Genomic DNA, 25406 nt, shown 5'->3' with positions numbered 1-25406 from the left:
GATGCTGTTTCCTTGACCTGCAGGTCCTGGTCTTGCACATGGATGTTTCTTCTGGTGCAGGAGACAGAAAGGTAGCAACAACCCCTGATCAAAGCCTCAGTCCTTCCTTATTTACTGGAGAGCCCCTGCTGATTGACCAGAGGCACAGCTGGGGATATTTCCTTTACCTCTGTAGCAAGAGACAGCGTGGTGCAGAGGAAAGTGCTAGCATACATTACCCTGTGGCTGCATGACTTTGTGAATAGGTTAGTTAGCACCCTTTCAGCCACTTCTTCTTACCTGTTAATGAGATAAAACATGTAATTGCTTAAAAACAGTATTTGGCACATAGGAAGCACTTAGTGAATATGAATTATGATTTTTTTTGGAGTGGTGACATCTCAACCAAGCCATTTAACCCCTCAGCCTTACTTTCCTCAACTATAAAATAGCAGCTAACTTGAAATGTAAACTATAAAACCTAATGTAGTATCTGGCACATAGTAGATTCCCAATAAATGAGAGCCAGTATTCTTTCTAAGACAGTGATGCATTTCTGAGCACCTGGCCTTGTTCTTCTGCCTTGCAATTTATGCAGCAGTTGAAATAGACTGGCTGATGGGGGTAAGTTGTCAAGCAGACTTTCTGATCTTAGTGGAGGAGACTGCCTTAAAACAACACTAATTTCCTTTTTCTTTTCTTTTCTTTTCTTTTAAGACAGAGCCTCGCTCTGTCACCAGGCTGGAGTGCAGTGGCGCAGTCTTGGCTCACTGCAGCCTCTGCCTCCTGGGTTCAAGCGATTCTCCTGCCTCAGCCTCCTGAGTAGCTGGGACTATAGGCATGCTCCACCATGCCCAACTAATTTTTGTATTTTTAGTAGAGATGAGATTTCACCATGTTGGCCAGGATGGTCTCGATCTCCTAACCTCGTGATCTGCCCGCCTAGGCCTTCCAAAGTGCTGGGATTACAGGCATGAGCCACCATGCCTGGCCTTCTTTGAGAAGCTGGAGACATGAGTTAAGTGGTGAAGAAGCCAAATCTGTATCTAAAAACCCTACAGTAGTGTGCAGAGCTCTGAGGAGAGAAGGTCCCTTAGATTTTGAGTGTATTATTATGTCAGTGCTTGTTTTACATCTCTCTGTTCACGCAGTATGTCCCCTTTTCTGCCTTGCAGCTGTTTCTTAAATTCTTTCTTTCTTTGCTTGTCTTGCAGCACAAAACAGGCTTCAGTATAGGGGGAAATGCACAGAAACACTGCCTTTTCCTACAGGAAATCAGTAACTTTTTACTGATTTTGTTTTTATTTACTTATTTTATTTGTTTAAATTTATTTTTAGTTTTTTTTTTTTTTAGAGACAGGGTCTCTTTCTGTTACCCAGGCTAGAGTGCAGTGGTGCCCTTAGAGCTCACTGAGCTCACTGCAGCCTCGAATTCCTGGGCTCAAGTGATCCTCCTGCCTTAGCCTCCCGAAGGGCTGGGATGACAGGCATGAGCCACTGCACCTGGCCAACTTTTTGCTGATTGCGAATAGCACTCTTGTCAATTTCGGAGAGAAGCTGAGACTGGCATATGTCAGTATGGATCCCCACTTAGAGACCTGTGTTTATCTGCACTGACACCCCATCACAGCATGATGAGCTTGGCCCTCCTGTGCTGTCTCTCCCAGGGCTGGGAGGATCCTTGAAGCTGATCTGGTTTGGAGCTTTGTCCTCATTCACCTCCTTTACCACACACCCACCTTCCCAGGGCGGGGATCTACCACTCACTAAGTAGCCCATTCTGGGTGTTGACAGCTCTAATTGTTAGAAAATATTCACCACCCTGTTATGCTTTCTAGAGAACAAGTCTAATTCTGTTTTCCTTGAAATAGTCGAAGACAGCTCTCATGTTTTTCTTTCCCTGTTTTCCCAAAGTCCATGATTTTTTAGGCAAAATGGCCTCCTTTCCTCTTATGGAATGTTTTTCCTCCCCATTTCTGCCTCTCCTCTGGTTGTGTTTCAGTATGTCTGTGTGCTTCTTGAAGTTTACTGGAAATTATGAAAGTATTCTGGCACAGAGGAGGAAGGGATTTTTGCCTCCCTTGTTCTGAGTGCTACATTTCCGTTAATGCAGTCTGAGATTGTATTAGGCATTTTGGCATTCACGTCACCTTGTTGACTCATATTCCATGTGCACTCAAACAAAATTGTGATTATTTTAAATAGGCAGAATTGCAAGTTACGTGTTCTCCATTTCTTTGTTGTATTGTTGGCTTTTTGAACTAAAGGGAAAAATGTCTTTTTTCTGTTTTACATGTTTAGATTCCCTATGCTATCCTATCCTCCCAAAACCATTTTAGATTCTGATTTTGCCATGTATTATATCTGATACTCCTTTCTCGTCATCTAGAGATGTGATAAACAACTCTCTTTGGCCTCATTCCAGTCATCGATAACTGTGGGACAAAGACTTGAAGCTTGGATCAGTCCAGTGGAGACTAACCACCCCTGTAGACCCTTTTTTCCTCAACTATAAAATAGCAGCTAACTTGAAATGTAAACTATAAAACCTAATGTAGTATCTGGCACATAGTAGATTCCCAATAAATGAGAGCCAGTATTCTTCTAAGACAGTGATGCATTTCTGAGCACCTGGCCTTGTTCTTCTGCCTTGCAATTTATGCAGCAGTTGAAATAGACTGGCTGATGGGGGTAAGTTGTCAAGCAGACTTTCTGATCTTAGTGGAGGAGACTGCCTTAAAACACCACTAATTTCCTTTTTCTTTTCTTTTCTTTCTTTTTTTTTTTTAAGACAGAGCCTCGCTCTGTCACCAGGCTGGAGTGCAGTGGCGCAATCTTGGCTCACTGCAGCCTCTGCCTCCTGGGTTCAAGTGATTCTTGATTCTGTAGACACTACCACTCAGGCCTATATTGTAATCAGTGCTGGGCCACTGGGCTCCTGCTTCTGTGATCCAGTTGGGAAGTTTATCTTGTTCTTCCCTTCAGCTTGCATCTGCTAAATTCGCTGGACTATACACAGGTGATTTGTAGATATGGGGATCTCTACTCAAATACTCTCATGATTTCCTTGGCTAGAGCATCATTTTATTTCCACTTATTGGAAGAGACCTTAGAGACCAGTTAGTTCATTTATAGATAAATTAGTTGATTCTGTCATTCAACCCTTATATATTGAGCGTCTCCTATATGCGAATCACTGTTCTAAGTGCCGAGACACAGAGGTGTCCAAAACAAATATGGCCCCTCTCCATATGGAATTTCTATTCTAGAGAAGAATCTGACCCAGAAGGGGGAAGTGACTGTCCCAAGTCTACACAACCACAGAAGGGATATTCTGGGAATAAATCACGGCTAAACCCCCCTGCTGCTCCAGGCAGTTCTCCTTCTACAGTGCTCTATTGTGCTGTTTTAATAATCTTTCAACTGGGAAGAACTCCCATTTCAGGAATTAAGCCGTGGACAAATCTTTTAATTATCCTTGAAATCATCCTAATAAGAAATCCAAGGAGGAAGTCTTACAGGGTGCCTCACCCACTTTTCTCATCACTGGAACTTTTTAGACATTTTATTATTTTCTTCCTAAACCAGAGTACAGGCACACAAGTTGAGTGGTGTGGTGGCTAAATTAATTAATGTTTGCAAGGCAGTGTGAGAAGCATTCATTCATCTTAAATACCTATGGTGACTGCAACTCAGATGTAAAAATTGGATAAATCCTCAGAAACCCTAGGGAAAGTGACATGTCTGTATTTTGTCTCTGTGAGATACAGACTGGCAGAGATAAGTGTTTCTCTGGGTGAGTTTTGTGTGGTATCTGGGATGATTTTAGGCAGTACGTGGATGAGAACTTTTAATTTTAACCCACATCCAATTGCAATTTCATGGAAATTATTGCTTAGGAGGATGTTCAACAGGAAAAATATAATTAAAGTTAATTCAAAAGAAACATTTTCTGTGAATATGGTAAAACTTGTGAGAGTAGTTTGTAAATGATTGAAGATTGGAAAACATTGGTATAAGAGTGAGTGTGGGGTTTTGTATTAAGATTCATTTTGGGAAGAAATCCATGCTGCATCCCTCATGAAGTGTGAACTTTGGGCATGTGTTGATTCTTTCTGGCCCAGAGTTTACCTGAAGATTAGCTGCCCTGAGGGTCACTGAGCATTAAATTAGATGATGTCTGTGGATGACTGATAGTGAAGCTCATAGCCCACAGTTGACACATAATAAATTCGAGTTGCTTTGCTTCCCCTTCTGTTCCTGGCTGACTGTTTGGCCTTTGCCACTTGTTCGGCCTCTCTGGGCCTTAAGTTTCTTTGCCTTGAAATTGGAACTTTCTTTGGTGAAACAACCAGAAAATGCTTCAGCCCAGAAACTTGGTCAGTACTTGGATGGGGGATCACCTGGGACTACCCAAGGATGTGGGCTGTCTGCTAGACTATAGCCCCTTGAGGGCAAGGTGGGCGCCTTGCTCATGGTTCCATCCTAAGCCCCAGCACAGTAGTGGGTGCATGGTGAGCCATTAGTGAATCTTTGTGGAATGAAGGTGGGAGAAAATAAAATACCTGTACTTCACAGGGTATTGTGAGGGTCAAGTAAAAGTGCTTTAAAAAATTGTATTATATAGTTTATTCCCTTGTGTTAGCCCAGGTCAACAGAGCCTACGAATAATAATGATGACAGAAGTTCTTCAAAAAGTCTTGGCCTTCTTTCTTTCACAAAATTGCCCCCCAGAGCTTTCTGGAAGGGCAGCCATGAACCCAGAGGCCTAAAGTAGATTTACTGGGAAGCTAAAAATATTTACTTTATTTTTCATAGCTCCTTTCAAGGTCCTCTCTGGGGGTCTTAGCAATATGTTTACACAGTGGTATGTTTTTGTAAGGTTTGCAAAAGTAAGATTTTTTAAAAATACTATCTTGTTTTAAAAAGAGAGCCCCCTACCAACTTGTGTCAGCCTCAGGCCCCCACCTGCATCTGCTCCTGCCAGGGCATGGTGGGGCAAGAAGCACTGCTCCCCTTCCAAAGCTTCCTTCCTTGCCCTGGAGTCATCCTCACTCCCCACTCCAAGCCACCTGCCATCGCTGTGCCCCCTCTCTGGTGAATCTGGCATTCTTAGGTGGGCTGAGAAGCAGACTGGCCCAAGCTAAGGCCTTTCTGATGGGGTTGTTGCTGCTGAGAATCATGACTGGGTGGGAGAAGGAGGTGACCCTTTGCTGTCTTATTTTTACTGTGTATTTCCTTTTCAGCTACTTAAAATGTATTGCTTAGTGATACCTAATGGGTTCATTAGCCTGCTTCCTACTGAACATTTCCGCTCAGGCATCCACTTGGTCCCAAGGCCTGCTCCTCTCCCATATTCTGAAATCTGGACTACAGACTCTCATTCAACTCCAGGTTGCACTGTGGACACAGTCCCCTCTTGAGCAGGTACCTCCTTGCAGTGGTTGGGACGTCCTACTTGGCTCATAGTTGGGAAGTGCATATGCTGGAGCTGAAGCCTCTTGCCTTCCCGGGATAGGGCGTCCTCACATCCCCTCTGAGAAGTTCCCCAGCTTCCCTCTGTTCCCCGTTTCCACACTTAGCGAGGCTCTTGTCCACTGCTACATCCCCCATAGCCAGTCCCTCAGCCTTGCCATTGCTTATGCTGGTCTGGAAACAATTCCTAGACTTGTGGGGCATCTGGGGAAGTTCTCCATCTTTTTTTAGCTGGCATGACCCAAGTGGTGTGGGCAGGGCTGTGGATTCTATGGTGTGGCTGGAAGCCAGGTAGCCTCTCTCTACTGTACATGGAACTCAGCAACTTCTGAGTCAAGCAAGATCTTAGCTCTGCAGGTGTCTTGCCCTGTCCAAAGTTATGGCCACACCAGTACCTTTTAACTCTAGAAGCCCAGTAAGTGTTTTGTGGGACCGCAAAGATCATTTTCTAGACCTGCTGAATATGCCTAGAACGGGTAGGGATGGCTTTCACGCTGTTCCTAGGGCTGACAAGTCACACGTTTCTGGGGGTACATACACACCGCGGTCCCTGTGAATGGCACTCTCCATGAGAACTGTGATGATTTGAGTTGAATAGTGCACAGCCTACATGGTTCTCTGCCATGGCCTGGAGTTCCTTATCTTGCCTTCTCCAGTGAGGACTAGGGCTGCAACTGGCCTACTTTGGCTCCTGACTTGGGGGATTCTGAAATACCTTTTTTTTTTAAGGTTGTGGAGCTCTCTGAAGCTTATAAGGATTTTGCCAGGAAAAGATAAGAAATATCTTTGGGCATTTTGTCACTGTGCTGGAGATGAACCCTTTGGAGGACATATCACCTTGTTGAGGTCAAGGGGCGGAAAGGGACAGGACTGGCAGAGAGATCCGGGGCAGCAGCCTGCCATCCCGACTGAGTATGGAGTTTCTCTCTCCCTTCAGCTGCACTTTTGTGTGGAGTCAGTGGCTCAGCTGCCACTTCCCTTATGTTCATGGCATGAATCTGGCTTGTTAGGCCTTTCTTTTTTTTTTTTTTTTTTGAGATGGAGTCTCACTCTGTTGCCCAGGATGGAGTGCATGGAGTGTAGTGGTGTGATCTCGGCTCACTGCGACCACCGCCTCCTGGATTCAAGCGATTCTCCTGCCTCAGCCTCCTGAGAAGCTGGGATTACAGGCGCATGCCACAACACCCTGCTAATTTTTTAATTTTTATTTATTTATTTTTTTTCAAGGCAGAAGAATTTTTCTTAGTACAGAACAAAATGGAATCTCCTATGTCTACTTCTTTCTACACAGACACAGCAACAATCTGATTTCTCTATCTTTTCCCCACATTTCCCCCTTTTCTATTCGACAAAACTGCCATTGTCATCATGGCCCATTCTCAATGAGCTGCTGGGTACACCTCCCAGATGGGGCGGCGGCCGGGTAGAGGGGCTCCTCACTTCCCAGAAGGGGCGGCCGGGCAGAGGCGCCCCCCACCTCCCGGACGGGGCGGCTGGCCGGGCGGGGGCTGCCCCCCACCTCCCTCCCGGACGGGGTGGCTGGCCGGGCGGGGGCTGGCCCCCACCTCCCTCCCGGACGGGGCGGCTGGCCGGGCGGGGGCTGCCCCCCACCTCCCTCCCGGACGGGGCGGCTGGCTGCCCTGCTAATTTTTGTATTTTCAGTAGAGATGGGGTTTTACCATGTTGGTCAGGCTGGTCTCGAACTCCTGACCTGTTGATCCACCTGCCTCAGCCTCCCAAAGTGTTGAGATTACAGGCATGAGCCACTGCGCCCGGCTCTGTTTTTTTGTTTGTTTGTTTGTTTTTGTTTTTGTTTTGAGACGGAGTCTTACTCTGTTGCCCAGGCTGGAGTGAGTGGAGCGGCACGATCTTGGTTCACTGCAACCTCTGCCTCCCGGGTTCAAACAATTCTTCCTGCCTCAGCCTCCCGAATAGCTGGGATTACAGGCACTTACCACCAGGCCTGGCTAATTTTTGTATTTTTTAGTAGAGACGGGGTTTTGCCATGTTGGCCATTTGAACTCCTGACCATCTTTGAACTCCTGACCATGTTTGCCATGTTGAACTCTTGACTTCAGGTGCGTTGGCCTCCCAAAGTGCTGGGATTACAGGTGTGAGCCACCATGCCCAGCCTGTTTGGCCTTTCTGATATGGCTCTGACTAATCTTTTTGGAAATTAGTCCCCAGGGTTATACTGGATTTTACTTAGGGAAAAGGGTCATGCCTCTCTGGCTGTCAGATTTACTGATAGTACTAAGGACTCAGTGGGGTGGACCTTTGATTCTGGTTTGATTTTTGAAAATCAAAAAGACGTGAGCTCCAGGGAGCAGGGTGGCTTTGGTGACATGGCAAGATAGTTGGCTGTGGCAGGGAGTTGAGGGAAGTGGGTAGAAAATTAACATCTTGTAAATATTCCCTGGGAAATATACCTTCGTGTTAAGAGAACAGACTTGGCAGCCAGATGGCCTAGGTTCAAATCTTGGCTTGATGCTTATCAGCTGTGTAACCTTGGATAATTCCATACATCTCTGTGCCTCAGTTTCCTCAAATGGAATAACAATAGTACCTCCCTCAGGACTATTGTGGCAAATTAATGGACGAATAAGGGGAAGCACTTAGTACAGTGCCTGGCCCAGCATAGGTACCAGGCTTGTTCTTAAGCTCACTGCATTTTTACAATCATCATAAAATGCAGGGGATACACACATGAAGGAGCCGAAGTTCAGAGAGGCCAAGTAACTTGCCTAAGAAAGCACAGCTGGCAAGGGGCAGTAATAGGACCAGAATTCCAGTTTCTCGTGCTCTGTTGTTGTTATATCCTAAAGAGAGCAGCTCTGAGTAGCCAGAAGCTTCCCTAAAGTCACAGGACATGGGGCATGGGCTGGCTGGGATGAGAAAGGAGACAAGAGGGCTTCTGAAAGAAATGCCAGATTCACTCCACTTCCTGGCTTCAGGCACCGATGGAATGTTTCCCAAGGCCCATCTAGAAAGAACATCCTGTGACTCACAGCCACTTCTCATTTTCTGTCTGAACCCCCTCACCCATTCAGGCAGCTGCTAAAGTTGAGGTTACAGCCTCAGACTATATTTTCTGTCCTTGTGGAACCCCAGTGTGTCATCTTGTTGGGAGATCTGGTGATACATGTGTCAACATTATGTCATCAAAATGGAAATTCTTTGAAATCTTTAGGTGATTGCAATTCACGTTCTGTATGTATGCACTTGTCAAAAGTTTTGATTTGAGGCCTTAGAATTTTATATTTGGAAACCTTTCCACTACCATGAGTTTTCCCAGACCTGTCAAAGCCAGGCTGCATCTCAGAAACCAGGTCTTTGATTTCCATCCAGGGCAAGGGCCTGGGCCCAGCTGGGCTGTAAGCAGGTGGGGGTGGGGAGCAACGCTGCACTGCAATGTTGAAATATTACTTGAACTAAATCAAATCAAAGATCAGCTTTACTCAGACAAGAATAGAAAACACAATTGCATTCGATTACAGAATAGTGTGTATCCCCACAAATATCAGACTGCCTTTAAAAAGTTTTGAATTGTTAACATCAAGAACAGTGTTGCGTGTCTCCTGCTTTTCCAGCATAAGGTTTATTTATTCTGTGGGTGGCAAAGAGCAATTTGGGAGTCCAGTTTGTTTCTCATTGAAAGCTTTCCCATTTCTGGTCCTCTTGTCACTGTTGCATTGAGGCACCAAAAGGCAATCTCAGTGCGACACTATTCAACAGACTAAGTTGCACCGGATAATGATACCATTTTACATTTTTCATATATTATTACATTGAAGGCTTCAAACAGCACTAGCAGGGGCAAATTGGTATTATTATCTCCATTTCATTGATGAGGAAACCGAGGCTCGAAAGGGTAATGTCTGTTGTCCAAGATTAAAGAGTAAAGTTGTACGTTGAATCGGGGTCTGACTCCTAGGCTTAGCATTTTCTCCCCACACTATGCTGCCATGTTGCTTATTCCAACATTAGGAAGCATAGGTGCCATCCCCAGCTTTTGAGGCCAATATCACGATGAAGCATTTTTAAAACATCTCATTAAATTGCTGATATAGTGGAAAGAACCAAAGCTTTGCAGTCAAAGCTGTTTGGGTTCAAATTTACCACTTGTTTGTTCTATGACCCTGAGCAAGATATTCTCCAGATCTGTTTCCTCATTTGAAAAATGGGAATAATAATACGTTTCTTTATAGGCTGTTCTTAAAGATTCTGGAAAATAATGCTAATAGTGTGCCTAATGCTTGGTAAATATGAGTCACTTTTCTGTGCCCACAAAGCACTACTATGTCCCTTAATAAATTTTGTTAATTTTAAAAGTTAGAAAAAAATTAAACTATTTATACATTGTGTATGTTAATTCTTCCCTAGACCAGCCTTAGGAAGAATCTCATCCCCAACTTGTAAACTCATCTTTTTCCGTTCTTTTTGTGCCTGGACTTCTCAGGGCCCTGCAGGCTGATTCTAGTCCCATGTTGTGTGGTGTTTGAAGTGTCTGGTCCCTTTTTTCAGTGAGAGACCAGCTCATCCTTGGGAACTGAATGCCTCAAACTCTCTTTTCTTTTTCTCTCTTCCCCTTCTGTTTGATGTAGTCTTTCCTGTTTCTGGACTCTGTTTCTTCATACTTCCTATCTCTTACCTTCTTTTCACTCCTTTTGTCTTCCAGCTGTCCTCTCTCATTTTTCTGCCTCTCTGGTCTTCAGGTAGAGTTTTCATCTCAGCTATCTTCTTGCTTTTTCTGATGTTGGTTCTTTGTTTCTTCTTCTCATTCTGTTCAGGTCCAAAATTCATTTGGGTCAATGTTATGTCTTAGTGTTATCTTCCATTTCCTTCTGAGCTTCAAAGCCAGGCTGACTGTGCCCTTCCACGCCCTGGCCAGTGTGACCAGGACATCCTTTCCCTCTGGGGCTGCACTGGCTCTTTGGGGGAATTGTTACCATTCAGGGTCTTCAACCCTCATTCTAGGGACTTCCAGTAACTTCTCCCACCTTCCCTCTTCTCAGTAAGACATGGGTATTGTCTTATTCTGTTTCTGCTGCTAGAAGAAAATTCTCGAGACTGAGTAATTTATACACAATAGAAATTTACTTCTCACAGTTCTGGAGGCTGGGAAATCCAAAATCAAGGTGTTGGCAGGTTTGGTGTCTGGTGAGGGCTGCTCTCTGCTTCTAAGATGGTGCCTTGTTGCTGCATCCTTAGGAGGGGACAAACGCCATTTCCTCAACTGGCAGAAGGGACTGAAGCCTCTCCCTCAAGCCCTTTTATAGGGGTCCTCATTGTCAGGCCTCTAAGCCCAAGCCAAGCCATCGCATCCCCTGTGACTTGCACATATACGCCCAGATGGCCTGAAGTAACTGAAGAATCACAAAAGAAGTGAAAAGGCCCTGCCTCGCCTTAACTGATGACGTTCCACCATTGTGATTTGTTCCTGCCCCACCTTAACTGAGTGATTAACCCTGTGAATTTCCTTCTCCTGGCTCAGAAGCTCCCCCACTGAGCACCTTGTGACCCCCTGCCCCTGCCCACCAGAGAACAACCCCCTTTGACTGTAATTTTCCATTACCTTCCCAAATCCTATAAAACGGCCCCACCCCTATCTCCCTTTGCTGACTCTCTTTTCGGACTCAGCCCACCTGCAGCCAGGTGAAAAAAACAGCTTTATTGCTCACACAAAGCCTGTTTGGTGGTCTCTTCACACAGACGCACATGAAACTCATGGTATCTGTGAGGGGCCCTAATGCTATTGGTGAGGGCACTGCTCACATAACTTAATCACCCCTTAAAGGCCCTGCCTCTTAATACTGTCACATTGGTGATGAAGTTTCAATGTATGAACTTTGAGGGGGGACACGTTCAAATCATAGCAGGTGTGCTATTGCCTTACTAGCAAAGTAATCTGGGGGAAGATGAGTAATGTCTCGTTCCACCCCTGATTCCAGTGCTGACTGATTCTGGAGTGGCAGAGAGGGTTGGAGGCTCACCGCTCTGCTCACCCGACCCTCTGGCCATCTCCTCTTAGAATGCAAGGGCAGGGATTTTGTTACACAGCGCCTCTTTTGTTATAGGCTAGCTCCTGCCTTCAAGGAGCACTGAGAAAAATATTATCCCTTTGAACCACAACACTAGTATTTTGGGTACTGTAGCCATTCAGAAGTTTGTTGAACTAATACAAGTTTATATTATTTGTAAAATACTAGAAGGAATGTGTGGTTCCTAAAGTTATGGTATTCCCATTGGTTGAAAGAGAAGACTCTGGCTTCCTAATGCCTTGGAAGGTTCAGGGAGCATAAGCCTAAATATCCTGGTTTCTCTTGGGAATTCTTCACAGCTTGTCATCTATGACTTTATCCACATTTATTTTGAACATGTTTAATTTTCAGCTTGTATTTTCTCAAGGAGTATGTGTGAGTCAGCATTCAGAGTACTTAACACACTTAGTGTCATTAGTGATAACTTAACCCACACGTATAGGAAGCTAGACCTCCATTTACAGAAAAATGGAGGCTCAGAGAGCCTAACTGACTTTCCCAAGGCCACATAACTGGAAAATTCTGGAACTGAGTTTTTTCAGGTATGTCTTGGTATCCCTCGGTGAGCCTTCTCTGTAGAGAAGGAAGTGTCTCCTGGGTTGGAAAGCCCAGGCCGGGATGAACAGCATGGGTGTCCTTAGGCTGTGTGTACCACACACCCCTGGCCTACTCTCCCCTGCTCTAAGGAGTCACCTGAAGGAGCAGCTGCATCACCCCGCCTCACCCCTTCTCCTCAGCACCCAACAACCAGGTCTTCCCAGAGAGTGCTCAGCTATTGGTGAAGCAGGCATCGTCTATTCTTCAAGAAGACAGCAGAGCATCAGGAAAACAAAACACCAAAAAAATACCATAAAGACACTGGAGTGTATTTGTTACCAGCCCTTGTATAACAGAGAAGTATTTCAAGGTCTTATTTGTAAGGCTGGACAAGCTCAGGCTGATTAAAACCACGAGTTAGAATTTGTCTCCCGCTCCCAGGCCCTGCTCAGTTGACAGCTCCTAGCAGGCTGGGAGGCCCCACCCCACCCCCACCCCAGGGGTCCATTGAAGAAGACCATCTGGGCCTGGGATGCTGATGTGATTTTCCCTACTTCTCCTTTTTTTTCATTTGCCTCCTCCACCCACTTCTAAAGCAGCTGATTGCTCTGGTTCCTTTTCATGTTGAGCAAAAGAGAAGACAGATCTTGAAACCTGAGCTGGGGACTGGAGGGCACTGACCGAGAGTAACCCCGTCTGGCTCAGCTCAGCTCAGCAAAGGGCTTTCCTCCTCCGCCTTCCTGAGCTGCTCTCCCTCCTCTCCTTTCCTCCTTCTTTCCCAGCCTCCCCCAAGCTCCTTCACCCCTCTCTTCCCTCTCCTCCCTCCTCCCACCTTCCTTGTCCTCTATGCTCAGAGAACTGAAGGAACACTGAATGGCCTGGAAAGCAGGACCTCGCCCCCACCCCGCGTCATACCCCTCCGCCTGCACGTGCAAATGTGTTCCTCAGCTTGGTCCCAGAGGCCTGGACCTGGGTCCCAGAGGTCCCAGCTGGTTCCCCGGCTTGGTCCCAGAGGCCTGGATGTGTGGCAAGAAGCTGAGGGTTCTGCTTCGTTTCTTCCAGCCCACAAACACACATGTCACCTGTTTTTTGTTCTTTTTCCTTTCCTTTGCCCCACTTTACAGAAGCTCTTGGCTAATTGGTAGGTCACTGTTTGCTCCTCCAGGCAAAACCAAGGAGGCTGAGCTCAGCAGGTCAAGTATTTTGGTCTGTATTGAAGAGACTGTGGTGGGAGAGCCCTCTTGACCTTCTGCTGGATAGTGACTTTCTCTTCTGCTGGCAGCAGTAGCCCAGCTCCGCATCCTGTGACAGAGGTCATACCTTCCAGTTACCCGAGCGAACACTTGGAGCAAGTCAGCTTTTTCCCCTGAAACAGCACGTTCACGTTCTTGATCTTTGGTTTGCACAACAACCTGTGAATGTTATTAGCCCCGTTTTTTTTGTTTGTTTGTTTTTTGAGACAGAGTGTCGCTCTTGTTGCCCAGGCTGGATTGCAATGGCGTGATCTCGGCTCACTGCAACCTCTGCCTCCAAGCAATTCTCCTGCCTCAGCTTCCTGAGTAGCTGGGATTACAGGCATGCGCCACCACACCCGGCTAATTTTGTATTTTTAGTAGAGACGGGGTTTCTTCATGTTGGTCAGGCTGGTCTCGAACTTCCGACCTCAGTTGATCCACCCGTCTTGGCCTCCCAAAGTGCTGTATTAGCCCCATTTTATATCCAAGGAAACTGAGGCTTAGGGAGATTTAAATAGGGGGGAAAGTATAGCTTCATGATTACACAGTCAGGAAATGGCAGAGCTGACTCTTGAATTCAGACCCTGTGATGCTGTATCCAGTGCTGATTTTGTTTTGCCCTGTGTTCCTTTCAGTGTCAGGTAAGAAGACCTCAGAGATCATCTTCTCCAACCCACACATTTTACTGATTATAAAATCCAGGTCCGCATTAACTCATTGGCCAAAGTTAAGTGGCTAAATGACTCTCCTGTTCAGGAAGTATTCCCTGTCTTGTGTGGAATGATTGGTCTTTCGTCCAGGTCATCTTCCACCTATATCCATCCTTGCAGTGACTGGTGGATATGATCATTCCTGGTGATTCCCTGTAAAATACTAGATTTATTTATTCTTTCATAAAGTTATGAGTAGACAAATCAGTCAGCTTCAACCTTTCCTTTACCTTATAGATAGTATCAGCAGAAAGAACTCAATAATTCTGTCTTAGGAACTCAGCCAGGCTAATATGTATTATAATACACACATACATATGCACACACATACACACATGTGCATACCTTAGATCACAAATTCAACATCTCAACTTAGCCGCCAAAGCCACTTCTGTGTCTTGTCTATTCTGAATATGCTTTAAGGTTAAATTAGCCATGAATCTGTTCAGATCAGTCATTCCTGAAAATGATGATGATATTAGCCATCCTTTACCGGGCACCTTACTCAGTGCCCGGCATTATACTAGGTCTGCAGGTACATTTGCTCATTTAACACCTAGCTCAGTCCAATGAGGTGGATGCCATTGTCATCTCCATTTTATCATTTAATCAACTCAGCCTTCCTCTCTCCTGTTCCCCACTCTGCTTCTAGCTGCCACTCACCTGACTCTCCTCTTGATCTGGGCTGACGTGGCTGAGTGGGTTTAGCAGAACTCTTGTGTCCTCTTTACTTGGTTTGTTTCAAGTTCATGTCCTGCTTCATCTTTTCCCTAACTCACTGCAAGGTGAATTTTCTTCTCTGCAATCGGCAATTCCCCAAATCACATCAGGTCATTAATTTATTCACTCATTTGTATTCATTCATTCATTAGTTCATCCATCCATCTATTCATTCATTCATCCAATTTACTGAGTGCCTCCTCTGTGCCAGGCACTGCTGGCTTTGGAATTAAAAACCCTGGCCCTCAAGGAATTTCTATTCTTCTGGGAGCAGGATATTTACATGGGTGACTGCAGCTTGATCTGTGTGGTACTAGTGGAAAACATAGGATGTTGGGCACAAAAGAGTCACAAAACGCCGGGCGCGGTGGCTCATGCCTCTAATCCTAGCACTTTGGGAGGCCAAGGCGAGTGGATCACCTGAGGTCAGGAGTTCAAGACCAGCCTGGCCAACATGATGAAACCCCAACTCTACTAAAAATACAAAAAGGAATAATAGCTGGGCGTGATGGCGGGTGCCTGTAATCCCAACAACTCGGGAGGCTGAGGCAGGAGAATTGCTTGAACCTGGGGCTTTGGAGGTTGCAATGAGCCAAGAGCGGGCCACTTCACTCCAGCCTGGGTGAAAGGGTGAAACTCTGTATTAAAAAAAAAAAAAGTCACAAAAAAGGGCTGGCCACCTAACCCAGCTTGAGGATGGGAAGGCCAGGGCAGGCTTCCTGGAGGAGGTGACTCATGGGCCATGTCATGAGGATGGGGTAAGAGGAGAAGGTATGTTTCAGACATCTGGCTTTCTTAATATTCTTGGCTTTCCACCCATTTTCCTGCCAGCAACATAGGGGAGAAGACTGAGACCAGCAGATACAAAGCCACTGTACTCTGTCCTCACCCCCTCCTTTTTTCTCCCCTTCCTACTACCCAGATCTGAGGTTTTGAGAAATCTCTTCTCTAATTATCTGCTTGTTCATTCATTTGTTGAGAATCTACTATGTGCATAGCATTATGACCACAAAATGTCCTGGTCGTTGTCATCATGAGAGGTCTTACCCCTTCCTCTCCAGCCACTTCTAGGGATTTTTGACTCTGTCCTTTTCCAGAACTTGGCTCCAGTCTGGTTGCTCGCCATGAAGCACTTACAGATAAACCTCATCTTGGGCCAGTGCTTCCATTTACTGTCTCCTTTTGGCTTGCTTATCCTTCCTTCTGCCTTCTTGAATTGATTTGCCTCTTTATCTCCCCTTTCAGCCTTGAAAGTTCCTCGAAGGCAGGGACTGTGTCCCCATCTTTTCTATAAATGGCATTGTTGTACATTGGTAAAGTTGAGTGAAAAAATCTTTTTGATAATCACAAATTATTACCATATATTGAGCACCTACCATGATGAGTATCTCTGATCTTCATATCTTTGAAATGTGGATACTATTACCTTCACTTAATTGGTAAGAAAATTTGTGCTCAGGGAGGTAAAGTCACTTTCTCACAGTCACACAGCTATTTCACAGGAGAGTGCAGTATCAAATTTAGGTTTTTCTGGTCCCAAACCCTGATGTTTCCCCCACATCATTGTTTCTCAGACTTGGCTGCAATCACCTGAAAAATTTTATTAAATTCTTTTTTTTTTTTTTTTTGAGACAGAGTCTCGCTCTGTCACCCAGGCTGGAGTGCAATGGTGCCATCTCTGCTCAGTGCAACCACTGCCTCCCACGTTCAAGTGATCCTCCTGCTTCAGCCTCCCAAGTAGCTGGGATTACAGGCACCCACCACCACACTCAGCTAATTTTGATATGTTTAGTAGAGACTGGGTTTCACCAGGCTGATCTCAAACTCCTGACCTCAAGTGATCTGCCCACCTCACCCAGCCAGGTTTTATTAAATTCTGATGCCTGGGTCTTACCCTAGCAGTTCTCATTAGTTGCTCCATGGTGTGGCCTGGGCTTTGGGATTTTTGTGAAGCCCCCAGCTGAGTCTAACGGGCAGTCATGTTTGAGAACCAGTATACTACACCATGTTGCCTTCCTGTTTTCACACAGGTTGGTGCTAGTGTGTGAGTCTAAGCCTACATGGGTGGATATCCACGTGATCAGGCTGCAAGTTCTTTGTAGTGGAGGATCTTTGGCCCTCCCTGCTGCTTCCCAACCCAGCGAACCTACCACACCATGCACGTGCACAGCCAAGGGTTGTTGACTGTTTAATCAGTCTCTGGGTTCTTATGTCTCATCCGGGGGATTCACTGATAGGAGGCTGGAGCTTGATCACATCCAGATGTTCTCATCTTCAGAGCCTGTTAACATAACAGAAGTCTTATAAACATGCTGAGCACACTCACTGGTCTGGAGAGTGTTGCAGGATGACCTAGGCCCATTGCAGGGGTGGCCTGGGTCGCCCTCCCACACTTCTGCCACCCTGCTTGGGAAGGAGGGAGCTGTTTTGAAGTTCCCTGGTGCAATATGATGTATTGCTCTGGCTCTGCTCAGGAGGAAGCTATGGCCCACCTAGTCAGTGAGGGTTAGCTAATACGTGTATTCTGTTTCTGTTGAGGTTTCACAGAGGCCTTTTTTGACCCTTCATTTTATAGATAAGGCAGTGGAGGCACAACTACATGAAATGACTCGACAAATAAATGGATTTAGAACCCAGGTTTCTGACTCCCAGGGTGGTGCTTTTTCCATGGTTGTACAGTGATTAATGTCTACCTTTTCACACCAGTCCTCAACTGAAGACACCAGCTTACACCTTCCTTCCTGTTTCTCCCAAGAACAGAAAGTGACCCCGGATGTCGCTTTCTGTTCCTGGGAAGGCAGTTCCAGTGGTTAGAAGTCCTGTTCACTCCTGGGGTGTGGCCTGGGGATGGTCCTGACATCCCTGGGCTCTTCCTGGACCTGGCCAGCTAAAAGGAAATCTCCTATGATGGTACTCAGATACTTTTGGAACCTTGTCAGCCCTAATCCCATCTCCTAGTGTTTAGTATTCAGCTACCCTTCACTGGGCAGTAATTCTGTGCCAGGCCTGATCTGGGCATTGGTGGTACTAAGAACGCATATTCCCTATCCTATAGGCATAGTCTGGTAGAGACAACATGCAAGTAAAACAATGTTCCTTAAACTGTGGTTCCACACCTCCCTCCCCCAACATTAAAAGTGTAAGGGATGCTTATTCAAATGTAGATTTGTAGGCTCTGCACTCTAGACCCACTATTTCAGAATCTCTGGGGACTGGGCCCAAGAAACTGCATTTTCGCATGCTCCCTAAATGAAGCTTAGGTGCTCTGAGGTTTGACAACTGCAGTAGAGAGCCTAATGCTAACAGTGTAGAGTCACATGTGATGGGAAGCATCAGGTAGGTAGCAGTTTGCAGGAGCACTGATTCTGAGGGACACTAACTGGGCCTAAGAACAGCTACTGGCTGTCATGAGGAATAACTAGGAGCTAGCCATAGAGGGGTAGCAGTGAATCATTTCTCTAGCGATGTAAATCTTGCTCAATTTATTCTGTCTATATAACTCAATATTACTGAAGTTTGCCTAAAGCAGAATACACCTGGATCATACAGCATTTATGAGAGACTGGCTGGGCTGTCAGGCCCTCCTGTTACTTTATCTCTGCATGTGACCCTCTTAGCTCCGCGGATTAACTCCTGTCCTCATTAAGCCTCACACTGTAGCCCCATTTTCAGATCAAACCTGTTTCTCTTCTGGTAAATGATTTCAGTTTGCAAAGTTTGCCCTCTAGAGGTTGCTTAGTGCCTGGCCATGTGGGCTCAGTTCATGTGGTCCTGATGAGCTGGTTTTATCTTTATTACAAAGAAGTTAGGCTGTTAGGAGAGTGGGTTGGAAGGAGAAGAGGTAGACAGCCAAATGAGATGAGTCAGGGAAAACTATACTGTTTCGGAGTCATAGGGCTCCTACCAAGCATCTGGTCAGAAACCTCTCATTTTGGAGATCAAGAAATTGAGGTTCAGAAAGATGACATGAGGTACGCAGGGACGCCACCAGACACAGCCTCCAACTCTAGAAACTAAAATTCTGGATTCTTAGTGCTGCTTTTTCTGTTTTGTTGCACTGGATTGAAGCCTTTTCTAACTGTACTCAGAGGGCCTATTATTTAGGGAGATTCCGTATGAAATCCTTTAGCAATCAAATCATTTAATAGGGCTGATGGTTTAAATATATGTTAATGTGTTTTCCTAAAGCCTGGCAGACCTGGGTTTTGGAGCTTTGTATCACATGTTTTATGTTTGGAATGAAAATGAGACCATGTCTGTGAAGGCACTTTGATATGCGTAATGCACTCTGCCAGTGTTTGTCAAAACATGGTCCCCAGGTCAGCAGCATCAGCATCACCTGTAAGTGATTCTCCAGTCGCATCCCAGGGCCGCTGTATCAGAAACTCTGGGGGTGGGGGTGGGGGTGGGGGTGGGGGTGGGGGTGGGGGTGGGGGTGGGGGCCGGCCCGGCCCGGCCCGGCCCGGCCCGGCCCGGCCCGGCCCGGCCCGGCCCGGCCCGGCCCGGCCCGGCAGTCTGCATTTTAACAAGCTCTCCAGGTGATTCTGATGCATACTTAAGTTTGAGAACCATTGCTTGTTTTGCATTAAACAGGAGATTAGTCTCTGCAGCTTGTGGGAATAAAGCTTTAAATCTCTCCAATTTTAGCTCTGTGAAAAGGCAGTGGGGAGACAGGAATGAACGGACTAGTGCCACAAAGCTCAGGTGGGGTGGGTGAGATCATTTAGAAGAGAAAGACCGGGCATGGTGGCTCACGCCTGTACTGTCAGCACTTTGGGAGGCCAAGGCAGGTTGGATCACAAGGTCAGGAGTTTGAGACCAGCCTGCCTATCATGGTGAAACCCTGTCTGTACTAAAGATAAAAAAAAAAAAATTTGCCAGTCATGGTGATGCATACCTGTAATCCCAGCTACTCGGGAGGCTGAGGCAGGAGAATCTCTTGAACCCGGGAGGCGGGGGTTGCAGTGAGCTGAGATTCCACCATTGCACTCCAACCTAGGTGACAGGGTGAGACTCCGTCTCAAAATAAAAAAAAAAAAAGAAAAGGAAAGGCTGTGTGTGTGTGTATGTGTGTGTGTGTGTGTGTGTGTGTGTAACAGCACCATCACACTGTTTGAGTTGAGGAGCACATGCTGAGTGTGGCTCAACATGTTACCAGAAAGCAATATTTTCATGCCTCTCCTGATATGGCGATGCTCCCCTATCTCATTCCTGTGTGTGTTTAGCCAGGCAACTGTTGATCATCAATATTATGATAACGTTTCTCCACTGTCCCATTGTGCCCACTTTTTTTTTTTTTTTGAGTTACTTACTAAATAAAAATAAAACACTATTTCTCAATAGACTTGAAGCTTCAAGATTTCCTGGTGGACAATGAAACCTTCTCTGGGTTCCTGTATCACAACCTCTCTCTCCCAAAGTCTACTGTGGACAAGATGCTGAGGGCTGATGTCATTCTCCACAAGGTAAGCTGATGCCTCCAGCTTCCTCAGTAGGGCTGATGGCAATTACGTTGTGCAGCTACTGGAAAGAAATGAATAAACCCTTGTCCTTGTAATGGTGGTGAAGGGGAGGGAGGTAGTTTGAATACAACTTCACTTAATTTTACTTCCCTATTCAGGCAGGAATTGCCAAACCATCCAGGAGTGGAATATGCAACCTGGCGTCATGGGCCAGCTGGTTAAAATAAAATTGATTTCTGGCTTATCACTTGGCATTTGTGATGATTTCCTCCTACAAGGGATACATTTTAAGTTGAGTTAAACTTAAAAAATATTCACAGTTCTGAGGCAATAACCGTGGTTAAGGGTTATTGATCTGGAGGAGCTCTGTCTAAAAAATTGAGGACAGGAGACTTTAGACAAGGGTGTATTTGGAGACTTTTAAGAATTTTATAAAATAAGGGCTGGACGCAGTGGCACTGAGTTGAGAACTGTTGCTTGCTTTGCATTAAATAGGAGATCAGTCCCTGCAGCTTGTGGGAATAAGGCTTTAAATCTCTCCAATTTTAGCTCTGTGAGATGGCACTGGGGAAACAGAAATGAACGGACTAGTGTCACAAAGCTCAGGTGGGATGGACGAGATCACTTCAAAGGTCTGTAATCCCACGTCTATAATCCCAGCACTTTGGGAGGCCAAGGCGGGAAAATCACTTGAGGTCAGGAGTTCGAGACCATCCTGGCCAACATGGCAAAGCCTGTCTCTACTAAAAATATGAAAATTAGCTCAGCGTGGTGGCATGCTCCTGTAGTCCCAGCTACTCGTGAGGCTGAGACAGGAGAATCGTTTGAACCTGGGAGGCGGAGGTTGCAGTGAGCCAATATCACGCCATTGCACTCCAGCCTGGCTGACAGAGTGAGACTCCATCTCAAAAAAAAAAAAAAAAAAAGAATTTTATAAAATCAGGAAATAATATTAGTGTTTATGTTGAATTTTAACTTTAGAATCATAGAAAACTTCCTCTGGCATCATTATTAGACAGCTCTTGTGCAGTGGGTAGCACCAGACCCAGCTTGCATGGTTATTGATTTTTCAGAGACACTTTTTGAGCTTATTCTCTGGCAGAAAGGGGAACTGCTTCCTCCCCTATCTCGTGTCTGCATACTAGCTTGTCTTTACAAGAAGCAGAAGTAGTGGAAATGTTTATTCTTGAAAATAAGCTTTTTGCTTCACATGATCTAGAATTTTTAAAATTAGAAAAATGTGCTTACTGCGTGCCCTTCTGAAACTAGGAAAATATGCCTTGTGTTTACCAATTGTGTGGTTAGGAGATGGGCCAAAGGCATCAGGCTTTTGAAAGTAGTTGCATTTAGCATAATTTCCATTGCCCCCTGCCAATTTCATATCTGTCACATCTAATCAGTTTAAAATAAGGGGCATCCTAAGCATGGAGATGGTCCTTGGATGGTCCTTGGAGTTTCTGTATTTTCAGTATTCTTTTTTTTGAGCATACAAGACATTTATTGAAAAATTCTTGGGATCAATACTTGTGTAAGGAAAGGAAAGGGAACAAAGCATGATTGGGCAGAGGCAGAAGATGACATCAACAAAGGCCCTCCGTTGTCAGTATTCTTTTTTTTTTTTTTTTTTTGAGTTGGAGTCTCGCTCTGTCACCCAGGCTGGAGTGCAGTGGCGTGATCTCAGCTCACTACAACCTCTGCCTCCCAGGTTCAAGTGATTCTCTGCTTCAGCCTCCTGAGTAGCTGGGATTACAGGCATGCACCACCACACCTGGCTAATTGTTGTATTTTTAGTAGAGACGGGGTTTCACCATGTTGGTTGGCCAGACTGGTCTTGAACTCCTGACCTCAGGTGATCCGTCTGCCTTGGCCTCCCAAAGTGTTGGAATTACAGACATGACCCACTGCACCCGGCCTGTTGTCAGTATTCTTAAACATAGACACTAACTGTAGGCTGACAGCCTAGCAGCAAGGACCAGTTAAAGAAATGAGTAGAACTGAAGTGTGCTTGAGTATCTCTGGCAGTCAGCAAAAACTTAATGGGAATCATGGTAGGCCAAATGTTCTGCAGTATTTCAAAAGCTGCATGGGTTTTGAGAGGCTTTTGGTCCATCACTCACCTTAGGTTGTTCTACAAGCACATCAGCCTGCCCCAATTTAAACAGGGCAGTTAGTAATGGTGTAATAAAGAGTCTGCATTGTTCATTCCTTCAACAAATACTGGCTATAATGTTTCAGCACTGTGGATGCAAAGTGAGCAGGATAAACAGGCTCTTCTTTCAAAGCTTGTGGTCCACTGGACCACGTATGAAGTAGAATAGTTTAGGTCCAGAAAGGCAATTAAGTAAAATATGACCAAGAAGAGGCTCTCTAGTGGGTTTGGTATAAAGAAAAGATAAGAATGATTTAGAATTGGCCTATCAATGAGATAAGAGGCCTGGCTTTCTGGCACTCTGCTCTAGGGCAAGTAAAATGGAGAATTCCAAATTCTGAAATTGTTAGAACATAGTTCTGTGTCTTAGTTAAATATCTACACTTACAGATAAATAGCATAAATGCTTTCTCCCCATATTTCAGCCCAGTCCTACTTAAAGACAACATAAATTGCAAAATAGTGAGGATGTTGTTCATCTAATAAAAGTGGTTCCAGGAATTCAGACTCTGGATTCCTGTTTGCCAAATCATGTGTCCCACTCTTAAGAAAACGAGTTGGACTCTGGATTTTTCTTTGCAAGAGGGACAAGAGTGTGGGAGATACTGAGTTAATGCAACTTGCAGGTTTTAAGTGTCCTGTCATTGTGCCTTGTGCTTTGATACATTCTGAGTTTCAGTAAAGAGACCTGATGCATTGGACTGTTGCAATGGAACCTGTTTTAAGATCTTCAAAGCTGTATTGATATGAAGTTCTCCAAAAGACTTCAAGGACCCAGCTTCCAATCTTCATAATCCTCTTGTGCTTGTCTCTCTTTGCATGAAATGCTTCCAGGTATTTTTGCAAGGCTACCAGTTACATTTGACAAGTCTGTGCAATGGATCAAAATCAGAAGAGATGATTCAACTTGGTGACCAAGAAGTTTCTGAGCTTTGTGGCCTACCAAGGGAGAAACTGGCTGCAGCAGAGCGAGTACTTCGTTCCAACATGGACATCCTGAAGCCAATCCTGGTGAGTAGACTTGCTCACTGGAGAAACTTCAAGCACTAATGCTTTCGGAATGTGAGGCTTTTCCTTGGACAGCATGACTTTGTTTTGTAGAAAAGTACGGCTGGCTGGGAGTTTGTGATATAATTTAGTTCAGTGGTATTCTAAGTGTTCTTAGTGTTCTTTCAGACTTTTGGGCCATCTCCCAAAGGGTGAATGGGAAGAATAAGCTGGGTGTGGCTGAGTTTAAGCCAAAAGTTTTTTGTGCTTGTTTCAATCAGAGAAGACCTGCTTTTTCATGTTTTTACTATTATAATACTAAGCAAGAGCTCATTTGAAAACAGAGTTCTTCATATTTAAAAAAAAAAAGTCTTGAAACCATTGATGGGAAGATGGATATCTATTTATGTTTAAAAACCCATCATAAAGATGACATTGTGGGCTGTCACAGTTGGAAGGCCCTGGAATTAGATGAGACCACACTATTTAGCTTACTTAGTAATAACATTGCAAAGAAAAATTCCGACGAAGTTTTTTCAGCCTAGGAATCAATAGTTCAGAGAAGCACTCTATGAGAATACCCATTCATTCTTAACCAAAAAATACTGGTGAGCCTGAGCAGTTTGGTCATCAGAGTGTTTTATATAGTTCCAGAACAAATATGTCTCTAGGTGTTCTGAGAGCTCTGGTGAAATTCCTCTCGCTACCCCAAACATCATCATTTAATATCCAGGATTCTGGTTTTCTACTCACCAGATAGATTCTCTTAAAACCAGGGAAAGATTCCTGGAGGAAGGATGTATCTGGAAAGAGATGTTCCTTATTATAATAAAATGAAATTGTAATACTCTTGGATTTTGTGCAGCACGAATTCTTTATAGAGAGTTGGTCCTCCCAGAGAATTAAGAATACTCAGTTTCTGGACCCTGTTCCCAGATCATACCCTAGAATGTGACCTTAGAAACACACTTCAGGATTCATACCTTTGATTGACCATCAAAAAGTTTTTGTATCGGCCAGGTGTGGTGGCTCACGCCTGTAATCCCACCACTTTCGGATGCCACGGCGGGCAGATCACGTGAGGTCAGCAGTTTGAGACCAGCCTGGCCAACATGGTGAAACCCTGTCTCTACAAAAATACAAAAAATAGCCGGGCGTGATGGTGGGCACCTGTAATTCCAGCTACTCGGGAGGCTGAGGCAGGAGGATCGCTTGAGCCTAGGAGGTGGAGGCTGCAGTGAGCTGAGATCTGTCTCACTCTGTTGCCCAGGCTGGAGTGCAGTGGCGCGATCTCGACTCACTGCAACCTCCGCCTCTCAGGCTTAAGTGATTCTCATGCCTCAGCCTCCGAGTACCTGGGACTACAGGCACCTGCCACCACGCCCAGCTATTTTTTGTATTTTTAGTAGACATAGGGTTTCACTATGTTGCCCAGCTGGTCTCGAACTCCTGAGCTCAAGTGATCTGCCCACCTCGGCCTCCCAAAGTGTTGGGATTAAAGGCATGAGTCACCGTGCCTGGTCCCATGTTATAATTTTAAAGTAAGGTATATTTCTCTACAGGGATCTTTGCAACCCTAAGTAACTGGCCTAAAAAGTTAGAGAAGCTGACTTGTGCAGACATTTGCAGCCTGTTGGTCTTTTTTGTGCTGTGAATCATAGAGGGTGAAAGGTTATTATGAATGGTACAAAACTTTGTTACAAAACCATTTTCTTGGACTGTTTTGGGCTGCTTCACTGCATGACAAATGCTCACCCTTTCAGCTGGAATGATTGAAATTTTGGAAAAGATGGGTGTTTTTAGAAGACATTGTAATTTGTTCCGGTGCTGTGCCCATTCATTCCATTTCACTTCTGTTTACTCATTAAACACCTATTGTGTACACAACCCGGTAAAATCCCTCCACTCACACAATGCCTGAATTATACTCATAGTAGAATGACTGTTTAGCCCTCATCATCTGATAATTAACAGCTCAGGTTTCAACCTGACAGTATCTCTCTGGGAGGATTAGCAGCGTGACAGAGTGCAGGGAAATGCACCTTCAGAACCGTCAGCTACACTGTGTCCCATCCTGCTGTGTTGTGGTTGTGCCTTGTGGATGCGTTGGT

The 25406-nt window shown here is 45.2% G+C and overlaps 1 protein-coding gene across 1 annotated transcript in view, besides 1 other annotated feature; it reads left to right on the top strand.

Annotated features, from left to right (window-relative positions):
• Positions 1-25406, top strand: part of ABCA1 (ATP binding cassette subfamily A member 1) — a 147150-nt gene that overhangs the window by 46315 nt on the left and 75429 nt on the right. Inside the window, exons 6-7 of the mRNA NM_005502.4 lie at positions 20041-20162; positions 23143-23319. Coding sequence (NP_005493.2) covers positions 20041-20162; positions 23143-23319 — 299 coding nt within the window. The remainder of the gene's footprint in view (positions 1-20040; positions 20163-23142; positions 23320-25406) is intronic.
• Positions 12569-12658: an enhancer, noted in NCBI's record as "active region_28731". NCBI's record gives its function as "activates an Ori minimal core promoter by ATAC-STARR-seq in GM12878 lymphoblastoid cells {active_cell/tissue: GM12878}" and the evidence as "EXISTENCE:reporter gene assay evidence [ECO:0000049][PMID:35858748]".

The sequence above is a fragment of the Homo sapiens genome, chromosome 9 (genome assembly GCF_000001405.40).
Source record: "Homo sapiens chromosome 9, GRCh38.p14 Primary Assembly".
Classification (NCBI taxonomy): domain Eukaryota; kingdom Metazoa; phylum Chordata; class Mammalia; order Primates; family Hominidae; genus Homo; species Homo sapiens.
The sequence above is the reverse complement of the archived record's forward strand: the minus strand, read 5'-3'. Positions and strand labels throughout refer to the sequence as shown.